General features: G+C 38.6%; 1 protein-coding gene across 4 annotated transcripts in view; it reads right to left on the bottom strand.

The window, feature by feature from the left end:
* Positions 1 to 18,150, bottom strand: part of AGK (acylglycerol kinase) — a 103,835-nt gene that overhangs the window by 8,114 nt on the left and 77,571 nt on the right. For all 4 annotated transcript variants that reach the window (XM_024446835.2, NM_018238.4, NM_001364948.3 and 1 more), the window contains exons 10-13: positions 13,151 to 13,230; positions 10,114 to 10,171; positions 5,733 to 5,883; positions 5,223 to 5,320 (exon numbers count right to left, since the gene is read on the bottom strand). In XM_024446835.2, the coding sequence (XP_024302603.1) occupies positions 5,223 to 5,320; positions 5,733 to 5,883; positions 10,114 to 10,171; positions 13,151 to 13,230 (387 nt within the window). The remainder of the gene's footprint in view (positions 1 to 5,222; positions 5,321 to 5,732; positions 5,884 to 10,113; positions 10,172 to 13,150; positions 13,231 to 18,150) is intronic.

Below are 18,150 nucleotides of genomic sequence, written 5' to 3'. Positions count from 1 at the left end.
CCCAGGAGCAATGATCTGCTCTGACAATAGGACATTGAGAGGTGGGGCTGGGTGGGGGGGTAGTTAGAGAGGAGGAGGAAGAATGGGTTAAAGCAGTGATGAGTCAGGAGGACAACCACCAAGTCACCAGGCCCAGCATACAAGGGGAGGAAAAGAAAGAAAGCACAGCCACTGCTTAAAGACTGTGGGAAAGGCAAAACTCAGGGGAGAGCCACACTTCAGCTAGAACAGGGTCGGGAAACATTTTCTGTAAAGAGCCAGAGAGTGAACACTGTAGGCTTGCAGACCATGAGGTCTCTCTCACAGCTATTCAACTCAGCCATAGTAGCTGAAAGCAACCAGAGAATATACTCAAATGAATTAGCCTGCCTGTGTTCCAGTAAAATTTGACTTAAAGACACTGAAATTTGAAGACAATTTCCACACGTAACGGGGAAAAATACTCTTCTTTTGATTTTTTTCAATGATTTAAAAATGTAAAAAATATTGTTAGCTTCAAGGCTGTACAAATACAGGCAGCAGGATAGTCGGGCCTGTGGGCTGTCCTTTGCTGACCCCTGTTCTAAAGCTTTGTTCTGGAGGCACAATTAAGTTACCTAGAAAGAAACTGTGGTTCTTTGGAGGTGAGCCTTTAGCTTTGTTAACAGGGAAGAGGGCAGCCTTTAGTCTAGAATTAATTTTGACTCACTACTGAGGCAATACCTTTCTGAGGACACTACCCAATGCCCCATGTCTGAAGAGGATTTTCTACTCTAATTGGTTTGAACACGAACTATTCCTGGCTTTGTGAGAGGACTGACTCTCCTGAGACTGTCCCGCCTGCTCACTGGTAGGTAACTCAACCTCTATCTCGGGTGGTGGTTTCTCACATGCATGCACCTGTCAGTACTCAGCTGAAGATTCCAGAGGACACCTCCGTAAACCTCTAGCTTGGTTCTGGGTGCGGCTCTCCTCTCCATGGGGCTCTCTTGTATCCTGCCTTGCAATTCTAGCTGCCTTGATTTCTCAAATTCTCAAAGACCCCTCAACTGAGGTAGGGCATGGGCTCTGTGTGGGCTCCCTCTCCGCAGGCTGTGGCCTCTCTCCAGCAGTCACCTCGGGCAAGCATCAGGCTCACTGTGTTCAACTTCTTGCTCTCTGGACTCACTGTCCTATGCTGCTTGTCTCATACCAATGTCTCATATAGTTGTTTCAAAGATTTTGTCCAATTTTTAAGGTGTTTAAGGTATAAAGCTGGTGCTTTTTGCTACATCTTGGCCAAAAGTCTCACATTAACATTCAAAAATCAATTCATTTTATTGCTTTGACAGATTAAATGAGGAAACTTTATTATCTCAATAGATGCTGGAAGAGTACTTGATAAAATTAAATATCTAAGATATTTAACATGAAAGATAAAAATGCTTAGCAAACTGGGAATAGAAAGGAACTGCCTTAATCTGATAAAGGGTGTCTATAAAAAAAGAAAGCACATTAAATACAAGCATGAAGCAATGAAGACTTTCTCTCTAAATCAGAAATAAGAAAGACGATGGGGACTCCTGTTACTGCTACTTCTATTTAACCATGTACTGAGGTCCTATCCAGTGCTCTAAGTAAAATGAAGGATTGTAAGGATAAGTATTTGAAGAGAGAAAACAAACCTTGCACTATTTGCATTGGCCATGACTAAATCTGTAGAAAATTTGAAAGAATTCATTGAAAGAAAGTTAGAATAATTAATAATAATTTAATTAGGTTGCTGATTCAGCATTGATATAAAAATCAATTATATGTCCATCTACTAAATCAGGTAGAAAATGAAATTTTAATAGATATTATTTAGAATAGCATAAAAATTAAGATAACTGGGAATATATCCAGCAAAAGACAGGATATTCCAGAGAAAACTATAAAACTTCATTGAAAGACATTGAAGACCTAAATAAATGAAGAGATATACCCCGTTCATATGCTAGAGGAGTCAATATTGTAGAAATGTCATTTCTCTCCAAATTGATCTATGGGTACAATGCAGTGAGATCAATATTATAACATTTTTATGTGGAATTTAATAAAATAAACATTCTAAAATATTTATAGAACTCAAATGAGCTAAGAATAGCCAAGAGACTGTGTAAAAAGAGAAAAACATAGAACTTATTATAAAACTATAATAAGAGAAGCAGAGTATTAGTATAAATATGAGAAAATGGAACAACAATAGAAGAAAGAGACTAGAAACATTTACATGTATATAGACATGATGTATGGCAGAGGTTTATTGAAGATCAATGGGGGAAAATGGAGATTTCAATAAATGGCGCTTGGACAACTGGCTTTCTATTTGGAAAGAACATAAAATTGGAGCTTTACCTCCATCATTCACAAAACTCACTTATAAGTGGGGGTATTTCCTTTTTAAAGAAAAATGGAACTATGTTGCAAATCTTTTCACCTATTTTTCCCATGTCAATAGATAGAAAATAATACATATATAAAATAGATATGACTTTTAATAAATGTACCAAAATTTATTCAGTCTGATTAGTTCATTGCAAATATTTTACTATTATACAGTGAGCATAGTTGTATAAGAGATCCTAATTTTCACACATTCTATACTCCTACAGCTTCTTTCATACACTGAATGTGCTGCTTTTAATAAGTGAACATTTTGAGCTATTACACGGCAGCTACACTGCCTTTATTGTATTGCATTTGCTTTTATTTTTATAAAGAACTGTGCAAAAACGAAACAAATGAATTTGCTGCTACTAGTGATAAGCGGCACAGTATCGTATACTTTTAAATAGGCACAAAGATAAAAAGCACTTGGCATTGTGAGTGTGGCTAATCTTGAGCGCACTCACATACTCACTGAACTCAATCCATTCAGTGGTACTCAGTCATCAGAGAAAAGAACAATGGTAAAGAACATGAATAAAATACTCGGAATACATATTATTAAAGACTTGGTATAAAGGAGATGTATAATTAGACATTTTATCTTTCTCTTTTAAATTCCTCTGGAACAGAATCTATTTTTTTTTTTTTAGCATTCACATATCCACTTTCACCAGTGTTTTTCAGATTTCCATTATGTAAAAAAGGACTGCCTACATTATATATTCATCAGGTTATTCCAGTAGGATAAATTCCTAGAAATACAGTTAATAGGGCAGAAGGTATGCATATATTTTAGACACTTTATGTATACTATGCCAAATTGCTGAGACAGGATGTTCCAATCTATATTCCCATCAGAAACACACACCACCACTAAGCTTTTAATCTATAACATGCTTTTTAGTCATGACAATTCAATCTTACTATTTTAATTTGCATTTCTTTGCTGAAATCACTCTGTCTCCTTACCTACAAAATGCAGATAAAGATATCTACCTATAAGGATTACATAATATTATGTAAAATTCTTAGGACAGGTGCCTCACATGTAGTAAATAATCAGCAAATATAAGCTATTTTTTCATATGCTTATTTCTTTTATGAATTTTCTATTCTTACCCCTTGCTCACTTTTTATATTAGTCCTTTGCCCATTTCTCATTGCTTTATCCTAAGAGCTTGTTAAAAGGAAAGTGAATTCCTGGTCTATCACATGCTAATATTTTTCCCAATATGTCATTTAAAAGTTTGTTTAGAATGTCTTTTTAAATAAAAAGACAAATGCATCAATATGATTTTTGCCTTAAATGTCATGCTTAGAGAGGCCTTGTCCTCCTTAATTTTATACTGATAATCACTTAGATTTTACCCTAATACTTTTTTTTAACTTCAAACTTCTATTTTAAGTTCCGGGATACATACACAGGAGGCGCAGCCTTGTTACATAGGTATAAACGTGTGCCATTTACCCTACTACTTTAATGATTTTATTATTTTACATTTAGTTCTTTAATCAAACTAGAATTTTTTTTATAGGGTGAAGGGAGCTATGTTTTCCAAATGTTTTGCAATGGACATGTATTATTTTCATAGTTAGAAAACATCTCAATACTCTGAACATTAATATTAGAATCAAACTTATCACTCTATTAATATTGGAATCAAACTTTTCACGACATTCCAACTCCATCTGCTAATTTTCAGACTGGCCTAGACAACTGTGAACAGACTAATTTGCATACAAGCTGAATGTAATTAGTCCACAGTTAACAATTACTTTCCTATTGGCATTCTCATTGATATAAATTACCAAGGTTTTCTCTATACTAGGGTCAGTAAACTTTTTCTGTAAGTGACCAGATAATAAACATTTTAGGCTTTGGGCCATACAATCTGTCACAACTACTCAGCTCTCCCCTGTAGCACAAAGGCAGCCACAGACAATATATTTGTGAATGAATATGGCTGTGCTCCAATAAAACTTTATTTATGGATACTGAAACTTGAACTTTACGTATTTTTCTGTTCACAAAAATTATTCTTTTGATTTTCTTTGCATCATTTAAAATTAGAAGATTCTTGGCTTCTGGGCTATATAAAAACAGGTGGCAGACCAGTTTGCCAATGCCTGCTTTATTTCAATACTTTTGGGTGTGTTGTCTATAGTAGCACCACCCAACAGAACCTTCTGCACTGACGGACAGGCTGTATACCTGTGCTTTCCAGTATGATGGCTACTAGCTACATATGGCTGTTGAGCACTTGAAATGTGGTGAGTGTGACTTAGGAACTAAGTTTTGAATTTTATTTAATTCTAATTAATTTAAATTTAACTAGCCACATGTGGCTAATAGCTACCGTATGGGATAGTGCATACCTATAGATTGGGCCTAAATAAATAATATGTAGATATAGATACAGATGTATGTGTGTGGGTATTTTTCTCCTGAGGATCTAATTTGACATATTTAGTACAGTCACAAAAATCGTGGATATTTACTCAACTAAAAGTTCCACAATTTTTTTCCAGTGACAAATGGGAATAGCTAATTTTCATTTCTAAAGCCCTCTTGCCCTAAGTTCTCTGAATGCCAATTAAGCAATGAGCAGAACATGTAATCAGAGCCCCAGAAGCATTTATGCCACTCCTGCAGGTGGCAGCTTCTCCTCATTGCTGTTATTCCTTAAAGGCACACCACATCCTCTTTCTCCTGACACTGCCCTCTCTATCTCCACAGGGTAAAAATAAAAATAACTGAATTAGTGGGAGAGGACTATAGCTATTGTCACTTTTCTTAGGTACCAAATGCTTTTCTAATAAAAAAGCACACTTACTGTCGGGTCAAGCTGATTATTCCGTGTTGTGATGGACAGTTCAATGGTGGACAGCTGCACATCTTTCCAGACCTCCGGGCTCACCTCTTGGGAAAGGGCTGTGGGAATCCATTAGATACAGGTCAGTTTCTTCCATTAACATTTCACCACCCACCACGGACGGCTAGCTGCTAGCTGCTCAGCTCAGCTTCTCAACCTTTCTGCTGACTCTGCCTTCATTTTATTTATTTCATGCTTCTTATACATAGAGGTAAAAATGGCATCTCTGTGCCTAAAACATCACTACCAAAAGCAGTCACGTTAACAGAAAGACTGTGCACAGAGACTGCTATGCCCATTGATGGCACATTGCTTGGGCCTGCTCTGGTGGCACACAGAAGGATGAATTCAGTGATCCCTGAGAGGCTTCTCCTGCTCTAGTTAAGTCTCTAAAACTGATTTTGGAGGTCTACTTTAGGGCACTTCTAAACTGACCAGGGCCCTCCAATCTTTAGTCGCCACATTGCTCACCATCCTGTGGTTGTGCCCAGTAGGACGCAAGCCTTCGTAATATTCTCCTGTACAAAGAAGGCCTTTGTACAGGGGTCTCCTCTGGTTCATTGGGAGGTCTCTCTGTAGGTCCCGTGTATGAGATAGAGGCTTGATGAGTCTGAGGCCACTCCTTTTAATGTGGAGAGAGAAAAATTTTGTTATGCATGTACAATTCCACTCTGGGAGTTTCTCTCTGCAAAAGTTATTTATTTGTCTACCTATACCTGCTAGAAAGTGAACTAATAATCTCCTCTCACTGGATGGAATGCTAGTTTGGAGCATGGAATCCTCAAGCTTTCTTTTCCTCTTAAAGCTACATCTTAAAAACCATGAATTCAGCAAGTACTGCCTCCATTGCTCCCCCTAAAATTGGCTAACCACCACCATTTACATTTGTCCAAAAAGAGGGTGAATGAACATAGGGTCATCCGTAATAAATTTATCTTTGGCTTACAGATGGTGATGCAAAATGAAACTGAGGAAATCCAGTTGCATCAAGTACCTACCTCACTTCTGGAATCTTATTCCACACACAGGCCAGAATGGTTTAGCCCAGGCTCACAATCCAGCCCAAGGCTTCTCACTTCTGCTTCAAAGCCCATCACCCTCACACTCTAATTTTTTTTGTCTTCTATGTCCTGGCATCCCAAGTCCAGTGTCACCCTGGATCACATCCTGACCGCATGAATGAATAAAACCATACCCCAGCCTCTCAGCCCTTGACATCACCTCTGATTCACCACATCCACCCATTTCCATGGCCACATCCTGGCCCCTAATGTCACCCAGAACTATTCCACTTTGGAAATCTAAAACCCTGAGATCCTGCTCTCTAATCACATCCCATATTCTTCTGGTTGATTCTTTTGTGCCCATTGTGTCTCTTAGGGTGAAATGCTTCCCTGTTCTCAAGTTTCCAGGTGGTGAATTACAAAGCAGTAGCAACACTGGCTTCTCTCACTCCACTGCTTACTCACTCCTCCCCAAGTCTAGAAGGACCAATGCATGGATCCAGCCCTTTCCTTTCTCTCTGACAGCAGCTGTCCTTGTCTCAAACGGTCACTGCTTCTAATTTTCATGTGGTGAAAATTAGCTTCTTGTGGTGGTCTCTGCCCTGAAGGAGCTGTTTCAATGGACACCTTTGTTCACAGTATTAGGAGATCAGATAGAGACCACGTATCTGTGCTCTGTCCTCCACTCCTGCTGACATTTATAAAGATGACGTTTTGATCTTCATCTGCCTAGTTCCTGCATTTGTTTTCATACCTTGGTTCAAACTAAAAAGAGGAAGAGAGGGGTTTTATTGTGGGCCCCTGAAGACCTAACTGCACCAAGTTTTCAATCACATTGAGGATTCTACTCCCTGACCACTCATTTTCCCCTCAGTGCCAAACTGATAGTCAATTACTTTCAAGTGCTTTCTTTTTCCACTTACTCTTGGCTTTCCTGTGTCTTTATTCTTCTACAATATGTCCTAAAAAGCCCCAGTTCTGGATCAGCCTTGTCATTAAGTTCCTGTACTCTTACATCATGGCTCAGTATTACTAGAGAAGAAAATGATACTCCTGCTGAGTATTAATACAGGGAAAAGCAGTCACCCAAAGGAGCATTCATGTCTACAAATTGTTAGCCTCAGGTCTTCAGTGCTACTTGATAATCCTAAGCCTCCTCCTACATTCATCTTTCTTCAGGATACCCCATACCACTACTCACCACCTTTCTGACAGGATCACTTTGCTTCCTACACTTCAGTGAGAATATCAGGGACATCAGTGAGAATACCTTAACTTTCTCTAATCTCATTTTCATCTGGACCTACCCTTTACTCCTCTTCTGTATCAATGAAAAAAGGTGCCCCTTGTCCTGTCCAGGGACAATCCAGTACTCTGGATCCCACGCCCTTCTACCCGCTCTTGGATTTTGCCAATTCAGTCATGCTTTCTGTCTCCCTTCTCACCTCCTCACATTCTTTTCTTTTTCTTCAGTCTAGAAACACATGGATATTCTCCACTTTTAAAAATTCCATATTGACCCCATGTTTCTCTCAGCTTTTGCCTTCCCTATCTCCTTCTCTTCAAAGTCAGGTTTCTTGAAGGAGTAGCGTGTCCTTGCTGTCTCCACTTCTTTACATCACTTTTATTTCTTGACTTTCTTCAGTCTGGCTTCAGCCACCACACTTTGGAGGCTGCCCAGCTTTTGGAGGCTGCCAAATTCGATGGATACTCTCTTGTCTGTATATTTAAAGTCTTTGCTTTTGCTTCTCGAAACTCTTACTTTTTTCTTGAAATTCTCTCTTCTATTGGCTTCTATGTTAGTATTCTCTCCTGCATTTTCTCTTAGCACTTCTCAGTCATTTTTGGTGGTTCTTTAAATGTTTATGTCCCTTAGGGATATTCCTGGCCATCTGTACTCAATGGTAATTTCACCCAACCCATGGTTTCAACACCGCTCACACACTTATGACATTTGAATCTGTTTCTTTAGTCCAGACCTCTCTGCTGAATTCCGACCTAAATCACAATTGTATCTTTGCTTGTCTGTACCACAGGTATGTTAAACTCTACATAGATTAAACTGAAAATTTCATCTCTCTTCACAAACTTGATTTACTCTAGTATTACCAACATCAGTGGAAAACTCCAGTTACCAAACTCTAGTCCCTCATACCAGAAATCTGATAATCCTACATTCTTCTGACTTTTGAGGTTCTAACTTAAGAGTTCTTTAATCCATCTTCTATTGTCAATACTGTTACCTCCTTAGTCTATACGTCACTTCCCACCTGACTACTTTAACAACCTTCTATCTAATGTCCTTGCCTTGAGCTACCTACATCCTATCTGTTTTTCTGTTTAGAAAAAAACAATTTTTCTAAAATGCAAATCTGCTCATTTCATGCCTCTGCTCAAGACTCAATAACTCCCCATTGCTTTAAGGATAAAAGTCAAATTGCACATCAAAACCCGCCATAACCTGCCCTTACCTAACCCACTGGCTTCACTTCCTGCCATTTTACTGCATTAATCATAATTAAGGGCCATGTCACACCACTGTGACTTCACACAGCCTTTAAATGTTTCAAAATTTAGTGTGTCTCCTCTGCTGGGAAGATTTTCTGACCCTCATTAGATTTAGATGCCCCTCCTCTCTGCTCCCTTCTTAATCTTTCTATCTTTCTCTCACAGCACTTGCCAAACTGCTGATTTACTTACACTTCCCTCCCAGCATCTGAATACTTCTTGAGGGCAGGAAACCTGTCTCATTTGACTTTGTATCCCAAGCATATGTCAACTATTGTTTGCTGAATAAATAGTGGCAACAGTTTATATTCCATTTAAATATGTAGCTACTCTATTTCTTCCTAAATGCACTCACAACTCCACCAATGAAACTCGAGGAATAACCGATTTTACTAATCCAGTTTGCCCTTGGTATATAAAGACCTTGCCCTGCAAAGTTCATTTTTAAAATCACATACATTTACTTCTAGTAGTTCAGTGATTTTAGGGTTTTACATTTAATTTTTTAATCCAGCCAGAATTTTTTTAAAAGGTAAAGGAAGCTATGTTTTCCAAATGTTTTGCAAGGAACATGTATTACTTTTATAATTAGAAAAACATTCAATAACTCTGAATATTAACATTGGAACCAACCTTCTCACTACATTCAAACCCCATCTGCCAATTTTCAGATTGGCCAAACTATCAATATACCACTTTGATTTGCATAAAAGCTGAATATAGTCTGTAGTCCACAGTTAAAGATGACTTTTCTATTAGCATTTTCACTAATAAAAATTGTTAGGCTTTTCTCTATGCCAGTATTTTTTATTGTATCATATAGAGTAGCAGTGCCCAACAAAACTTTTTCTGATCATGGAAATGTTCCATATCTATACTCTCCAATACAGTAACCACCGCCCATATTTAGCTGGTACAGTTTGAAACCTACTGATACAAACACAAACCTGTACAATTAGATATTATATATTCAGATACAAATCTTCAATTCATTTCCAGGTACTAACATAGACAAGCATAAAATAATCGCTGAAGAATATGTCATTATGTTCAAGGTCTGTCGGGCAAGAGAGTGAATTAATAGCAAAGGCAAGTAGAATGCTTAAGAGAGATTAAATATGGGTTTGGTAGTAGAGGGAATGAATTGGTAGATAAAGGGTGATTGCTTATCAAAACAGGAATGCGTTCTATATTTGTATTTAATCAAACATGCCCTGTTTTAGTGTTGAAGCATGCCACATTCATCTGTAGCAAGGAATTAAAAAAAAATACCAAATATATGCATTACAGAGAAACAACAAAATAACACAGCAAATTTCTACACTGTAAATCACATTTACCTTAAGAGTGCTGAAAAAGTGGGCTGCTTTGATTTTTAGAGGCCCAAGATACCAGTACCTGTGAAAAGACCAAGATAAAAATCTGATAAGAATATCAAAAGAACTATCATGTGATAGATACCATTCATGGCAGACAATACATTAGAATTACATCTCTGCTATGAGTGGCTATTCTGGTAGCTAGGAGGTTATGGCTTAGTATAAAAGAGTATTACATTCAATTTTAAATCCACGTTTTGATGCCTTGTCAAGTTATATGTAATTAGTTACGCAGTAAAGATTCTTGCAATTTATGAGAGATATATAACCAGGCTCCTTGAGTCACTAAATTCACAACATCCTTTAAACACATCCTTTAAGCCATAGAATACAGTTTGGTATAGAGTTGTCCCTCAGTCCAAAGTCTGCAGATGTTCAAGTCCCGGATATAAAATGGCATATTTGCACGTAACCTATGTACATTCTCTTGTATATTTTAAATCATCTCTACATTGCTTATAACACTTAATACAGTGCCTACACATCACTTTATTTGCACGGATTCAACACAGTACTCGGTGTGCAGCCAATTCCAGTTTTGCTTTTTGGAATTTTGTGGAATATTTTTTTCCCCAAATATTCTCTATCTGCATTTGTTTACATCTATGGATACAATGGGTCAAGTGTACGTTCAAAAGAGCTATGAGTAAAGGATGATACAGCCACACTAAGATGCAAACACTGCATGCTCTGATGTGCTGATCCCAAGCTAAATGACTAGATCCTGTACACCATGTCCTCTCACACACACAAATGCACATATGCACACTCAATTAAAAATGTGTAAACCAGCATAATTTCACATTACTCATGTTATATAGCTCTAAAATGGCAAATGTTAAATCTGGGAATAACGAGAATCTATTGCATATTGCTAAATACATAAAAGCTACTGGAGAGAGGAAGACACCTAATCGGAATTAGAAAACGGCATAAAATAGATTCTTCTCTTAAAACTTATCTCTGTTAACAAATCACTCAACATTAACTGCTCTCTGTTGATTCTGATCATATACATTTATTTAGCACCCACTATGAATGCGGAGGAAACAGAAGAAATATAAAGTATAAATTTCCCACCTTTGAGAGCTTATGATTTGAGAAAATAAGACCCAAATATGTAAAAGCAAACAATGAATGACTATAAGGAAAAGCATAAACTGATCACTGCTTATTGGTAAGGGGAATCAAAAAGAGACAAAGTCATTAAGGGCCTAAAATCACTGGAGCAGCCATGCCTATAAAATGAATGGCACAGAATAAAGTCAGGGTACAAAACTTAGAGTATGGGAAATAGGATAACAGTCAGAGAAAGAGAGAAAAGCTTAGAAGTAAAGATACATAATTATATAATTAGGGGTGATGACAGAGTAAGTTGGGCCTGGAATAACAGACAAAGAGCTTAGATATAATCCAAGAGGGAATGCAGAAACATTCTAAATTATTATTCAGGTTGATACTGTGCTACTACTAATGAGGCCCTTGATCATCTGATTTTTTGTGTTATTATTTTTTAAAATTTACTTTATAGTTTGCTTCTTTCCCTAGTTAGCCAAGTAGAAGGTCATCTCAACTCAGGCAGTTACCTTCTAAAATTTCCTCAGTTTCCTTCATCTCTACCAATAGTACATTTTGCCACTGACTTTGTAGTCTTCCTACAGCCAGCTAGGAAATGATTTCTCATATCTCTACCATTTCTTTCTTAATACAAACAGCAACTCTGTGGAAGGGCCTAGCCAAGGTAGCACATAATAACAATCAGAATTTTAAAATTCTTTGTGCAGAAACCAATCGAGATATGGGGCTAGTATATAAAATAGTCCTAAAAGCGTTGATCTGTACTGTGCTTTCTTGTTGCTTAACACATTTTGGAAAGCAATTTGTCCTAACCAGACTTTTTTGGGGAAAGCTAAGCAGTTTCTCTTGGTGAGCTGCTGGATTTGAGATTTCAGATCAAACACAAGGTAATTTGTAGAATCCCATAATCATGGCACACTTGCAAATAAAAAGATGTGAAATACTTCAGAATGCAATGTGTAATATAATATGGTAATGTCTCTCTTTTGACATTTCACTGTCAGGAATCTCATTAGCAAGAATAATAAAGTGAAACAAGTGAGAGAAATTTCTGTTAAAAAAAAAAAAAAAGCATGGCAGGCTGGCCTATTAAGTGAAAGAGCAATTTCTTGAGAGCTATGTGTGAGATCAGCCACAATTCATTTAAACTATACTCAAACTGTAAGCCCTCGATTTTAAGAAAAGGTAAAGAGAAAATACCACCACCAGGTATGAAGCGAATCTCACATGGTGTCCCCTGCAGTCCTGCTCAGCAAGCCCTTGCCTACTTTACCTCTCCACAGCAAATGGAACATGACACACCCTCTCTCCAAGCCAAGAGTTTCATTGCATACAATGGATTCTCCAAAAATAAGTCAATTCTCATGAAAAGCCAACACTGGCCCTCTAATCAGCTCCTCGATAGGCCTGTTTCTCCCATCTCACAGCACAGCCAGGCGCCGCCTTTCTTCCTCCTCTAAGAGCAGCGGCCTGTGGTCTCCCAATCTGCGAGGCCTTCACAAAAATACCTCTCAGGAAAAGTTGTCTGACTGCAACAGCTCCGTAAGGCTGTAGCCCAGGCAGTCCCTTCCACTTGGTACCCAGCTAAGCAGCTGCAGAATGATAGGCAATCCAGTTCTCCCTACAGCCTAGCTTGAGCCTAACCTATGCTCAAATAGTGTGTCTAAAAATAGAGACATACCCTTCTCCTCTTCAGCTACTGCCCAGCTAGTGTTGAGGAAGCTGCAACTTTCCCCAGCCTTTCTGCATATAGGACATAAACCTCTACCTGATTGTTCCTACCTCCATTATTCACACATAATTCAACCTCCAGGCCCACCAAATTTATTCCCAGAAGATCACTGTGAATTAAAACCTGAAAGGCAGGGACAGAATAAGATTTTTTTAAAAAACATCACACATCAATATAGTAATCCTTTACTTGCTAACTTTGACGCCAGCATCTCTGAAAGATCCCCATCGAAGGCCGGTCATTGCAAATACAGGCTGTTCCTTTTCACCCTGGAAGTTAAATACATTTCATTTAAATTCATGACTATAATCACTCAGAACTCTTTACATCTAAGTACTCAGCAAATGTTCATGGCCTACTTTTCATCAAACCAAAATTCTAAAAAGTCTGCTCAAACATTAAAGACATTAACCCTGTGAGTGCTTAGTAAAAATACTTGAATAAGCCACACTGTAATATGAAGGTAATTTTTACACATCAGGTTTCATGAATCTGCTGGCAGGGGAACATACTGTCATACTTTGGACTGTAAATTTGAGAGTACCTAACTATGTTACCTCTCGAGCCAGTCAGTAGTCAGGTCAGCTAGAATTTCTTTTCTTTCATGTACTTGTCCAAGGCAAAGATAACTTAAGCCTGCATTTTCCTTATAGGATCAAGAGCTCTCAAGTCAGATCAGAATCCTGGTACTCTAGAATGTTTCACCTGAATATCTGAAACTACAGTCAAATACGTGTTACAAAAAGTCGAAATAAAAAGTGATTTGGATTTGGTCCAATGCTTTATGGCCAAATACTGCATATTATAATCAGTGAGTTTCTAATAAATCAGTGAATTAAGCAATATATAGAAAAAATGCACAATACAGCCAATGTCCCTAAGAGTTTATACTCTACCCTGAACCTTCCTTAAAAATTATAAATAATCTAGGTACCAGGATTCTAAATGGAATTTTTCCTGTAGCTCAGAATTTCATCTAAAGTCTAAGAGCTGAAAACTGACAGGCACCCAGTGCCCCCACACTCTAAAGAGAGCTACCGAATGCTACATAAGACTCCACAGAAGTTGCTAAAAGTGGGCAGAACCAGCTTGATTCCCACCACAGCCAGTGCAAGGAGAAGAGTAGGAACTGGAGGCAAATCCTTGGCAGTGCAAGTCGCTGCCTAGAGAAAGCATGCTGTCTTCTCCGCAAGGGTAAGAGTGCTTCCCCCAACACCACATTCACTCCTGTTTCCACTACGCCAAAAGCAGGTCACTTGCTTTGGAATGACTAGGAGAATCAGAGAAATTTCTAGGAGAATCAAACACAATAAAAGAAGCCTGCAAGGAAAGGATGCTGGCCTCTCATCCCTTTGTCGAGTATCTGCTCATGCAGTAGACTTGAATCTTCACTCTCTGTACCTGCTTTAGTAAGGGACAAGGGAACCAGAGAGAAATGGCAGAGAAAAAAGGAGAACGTGCAGCAACTCAGTGGCTGGTACAGCAAGGACATATTAGTTTTCTGGGTGCCTAGTGGATAGTGTGTAAGATAACAGGGCTTTGAGTCATCTTGACAATGCCCCATCTAAGAGCCTAGCCCAGGGATGATAGTATCCCAGTAGTTAGAAGCTGTGGAGAGAGCCAAGCCTGGATGCTCTCCACAGGAAGTTGAAAAGTGGAGCTAGAACAGATCTCTAACATCAGAAAACTATGTACGCCATGGGGAGGAATCCCAAAGAATTCACACATGAACCCATAAGACAGCCAGCACAGGGGCATCAGCAACCAAGAGGGAATGGTAAGGAAAAAGATTTTTCTCTAATCATTGCTTTATGTACCAACAATAAAGGAGCTAGAAATAGTAGAAAGCAGAGAGAGTGGGATGAAAAAACAGCCCAAAGACATTGAGGGTAAGGAGGATTTTTAAATTTTGTGGGTTTTTTTTGTTTTTTTTTTTTTTAGACGGAGTTTCACTCTTGTTGCCCAGGCTGGAGTGCAGTGGCACGATCTCGGCTAATTGCAACCTCTGCCTCCCAGGTTCAAGTGATTCTCCTGCCTCAACCTCCTGAGTAGCTGGGATTACAGGTGCACGCCACCACGCCCAGCTAATTTTTGTATTCTTTTAGTAGAGACGGGGTTTCACCATGTTGACCAGGCTGGTTTCCAACTGCTGACCTCAGATGATCCACCTGCCTCATCCTCCCAAAGTGCTGGGCTTACAGGTGTGAGCCACCACACCCAGGATTGCTTATTAATATAAGGAGGTGATGGAGGATATCAATGATGCACTAACATTTGAACAGAGACCTGAAGTACATGAGAAATCCAAATGAGGCCGGAGAGGTCAGAGGGACTGGACTGTGTTTGGCCTTGAAGGCCTTTGAATGACTTTGGTGTTATTCGGAGATGGGAAGCTGTTGATGGGCTCTGGGCAGAGAAGTGACATGCTCTAATTCCTGACCACACACTGGCTGTTGTGCTGACAACAGATTGTAGGGAGGCAAGGGGAGAGGGAATGATAAGAATTTGAGGACTCCTGGAATGATCCAGATAAAAGATGAAGGCAGCTGGGACCAGAGTGGTAAGAACAGAGGCAAGAAGAAATGCTTGATTTTGGATATATTTTGAAGGTAGAGCCAACATGACTTCTTGCCTGAATGGGGGAGTCAAAGATGACTCCAGAATTTTGGGGTGTAATAAGTGATGATTTTATCAAAGTATAAGTGATCATTTAAAGACTGTATTATTTCTTAGGAATGTTACATGCTGACCACTACAGATCTATAAAATGGCATAATAACGTAGAACAATTGTTTTGAAGTGAGAATCCTCACAGAATACCTAAGTGATCCTAGGCAAGTCACTTAACTTTTGAACGTTGGCTTCTACCTCTGAAAACAGGGTCATCTTTTGCTTAAACAACCTTCTCTACATTATCTCCTATGAGTGTATAAAGGGGTTATCAGCACTGTATCCTCAATTGCTAGCAGTGAGTGGCCAATAGTAAAAATTTATAATAAATAAATACATAAAATTTAAAAATTACTATATTTAATCATAAAATGAGGTGACAGAATAACCTCATAAAGCTTTTACATGAGCCAAAAATATTCCTACCCTCACTGGAATTTCACAAACCTCACCTCTCATGTATCTGAAGACAGGTATGTTTTCACTCATCCACTCAGTATTGATGGAACCCCTACTCAGCCAAGCATGGTGCTGGGAGTTGAGGACACAATGGTGAACACACTAACATACTCTCTGCCTCGAAGCACTTACATTCCCTCCCTAGCCTTAATGCTCTCCAAGCTAAACGTCTAGTCTTTCCGTTGTTCCGCCATGATTTTACAGCCTCATTATCTTGTTTACCCAACCCCCTCTGTTGCTTGTCAGTGTCCCTCTTAATTCTCTCATCTAGAACTGAATCTAAAAATTGTCTAAATTAAATCCCACTTAATGCCTTCAACTTAACAAAATTGCTAAGTAAGTATAATAGTGTGGTAAGTTTTCATACACCAAAGGCTTCTGATTTATATTGAGATACCTATTGAGTATCAGGGAAGTAGGTACAATTGTACAATGGGTGGGGGGAGCTAAGGAGATGGTCAAGGAAAATATAAATTTTAAAACAAAACATAAATTATTATTTTTAATTGATAAATCACACTTGTATATGTTTATGGGGTACAATGTAATTGACATGTGGGATGATTAAATCAAGCTAATTAAATATTCATCACCTCATTTACTTATCCTTTTTTGTGGTGAGACATTTGAAGTTTATTCTCTTAGTTATGTTTAAATATACGTTATTATCAACTATAGTCACCCTGCTGTGCAATAGATCTCAAAACTTATTCCTCCTATCTAACTGCAACTTTGCACTATTTGGCCATCATTTAAAAAACAAGGTACCTAGATTAGGGGAGATTGGAAAGAACTGGAAAGAAGAGAAAGGAGAGAAGAAAGTGATTCTAGTCCAAGGGAGAGAAATAACAGTATATGTCTTTAGCATCATTTCCCCAAATGTTTCATAACATGTTAACAAGTGCTATGTCTGAGGATGATGATGCTGCTGCTGATGATGATGATAGAAGATTCCATGGTGAAATAAATTGGAAAATACCAAACTTACTTGGTTTGAAGCCAGTTATGTTTACTACAGTTCTTAGAGTCTTTAATATGTTAATGTACATTACACATTTCCAAAAGAGGAAGCACAATATACAGCTTTCCTGAGTTGTTAACTGTGCAACCCTTCTTTGGGAGGACATTTTTGTATAATTCATATTTCTTGGTAAATGCTGTTCTAAAGCATGTAGTGTAGGCAAGAAGCACTGAGATAAGTACTGAGGGTTGCCGACTGATCCTCTAACCCTGTTTTCTCTTTCTTCATCTCGGGGGGAAGAGTTTTTAGGAACATTCCATTAGAATTAAATAAAAAGCCTTGTGACCCCAAAGTTCCACTGATGTGGAGTGCTGTATCCTAGCAAAAGGTGAGAATGGCTCTGGACAACAGGAAATGAGCCAGCAAGGCAGAATATGTGTGAGCAGATCTAGAGAATAATTAGTATTCCAGATGGGCATAGGACTGTCAGGATTCAGAATAGCCCTGAGGACCAGTCATGGAGAGACTAGTCCCTGTTGGGGTACACATGAACACAGAAAAAGCATGCAAGGTCAGATGGACAAAGTAGAAGCCAATAATAGACAAAGTCCCACTGTATCTTAACCCACTCATCTGGGTAGGCAGTCAAATTTTGAGATGGTTGGGTCAGTAAACAAAAACAAAAAGAAAAAGAAAGACAAGCACACAGTCAGATCTTCACAGCAAAGGAGATGTGCTGCCCCAATTCACAGCCTCCCCTAGAAACAGTAAATCCCTGGGAGAAAATGGCCTAGGGTTTGTGGAAGAAAATAATGGAGCGAGCAGGTTGGAATAAACGCTTAAGGAACACTGAAAAGAAAACAAGTCCTATAAACTAGATAGATGCCTAATCTGGAAATTTCAGGGATCCTAGATAAAGAGAAAGAAACAAAGTAGAAGGTGTTCTAAAGGAGTTCTGAAGCAGCTTCAAGCATCATCTTAAGAGAATCATCAAAGCCAGGGTCTAAAAAGAAGGAGTCCATGTAATTAGCCAGGAATGGCAAATAGGGAAAAGGGAAAGGTTCTAACTCCCCATGAACTCCCCTCTATGCCTTATTTG

This window comes from Homo sapiens, chromosome 7 (genome assembly GCF_000001405.40).
Source record: "Homo sapiens chromosome 7, GRCh38.p14 Primary Assembly".
Classification (NCBI taxonomy): Eukaryota; Metazoa; Chordata; class Mammalia; order Primates; family Hominidae; genus Homo; species Homo sapiens.
The sequence above is the reverse complement of the archived record's forward strand: the minus strand, read 5'-3'. Positions and strand labels throughout refer to the sequence as shown.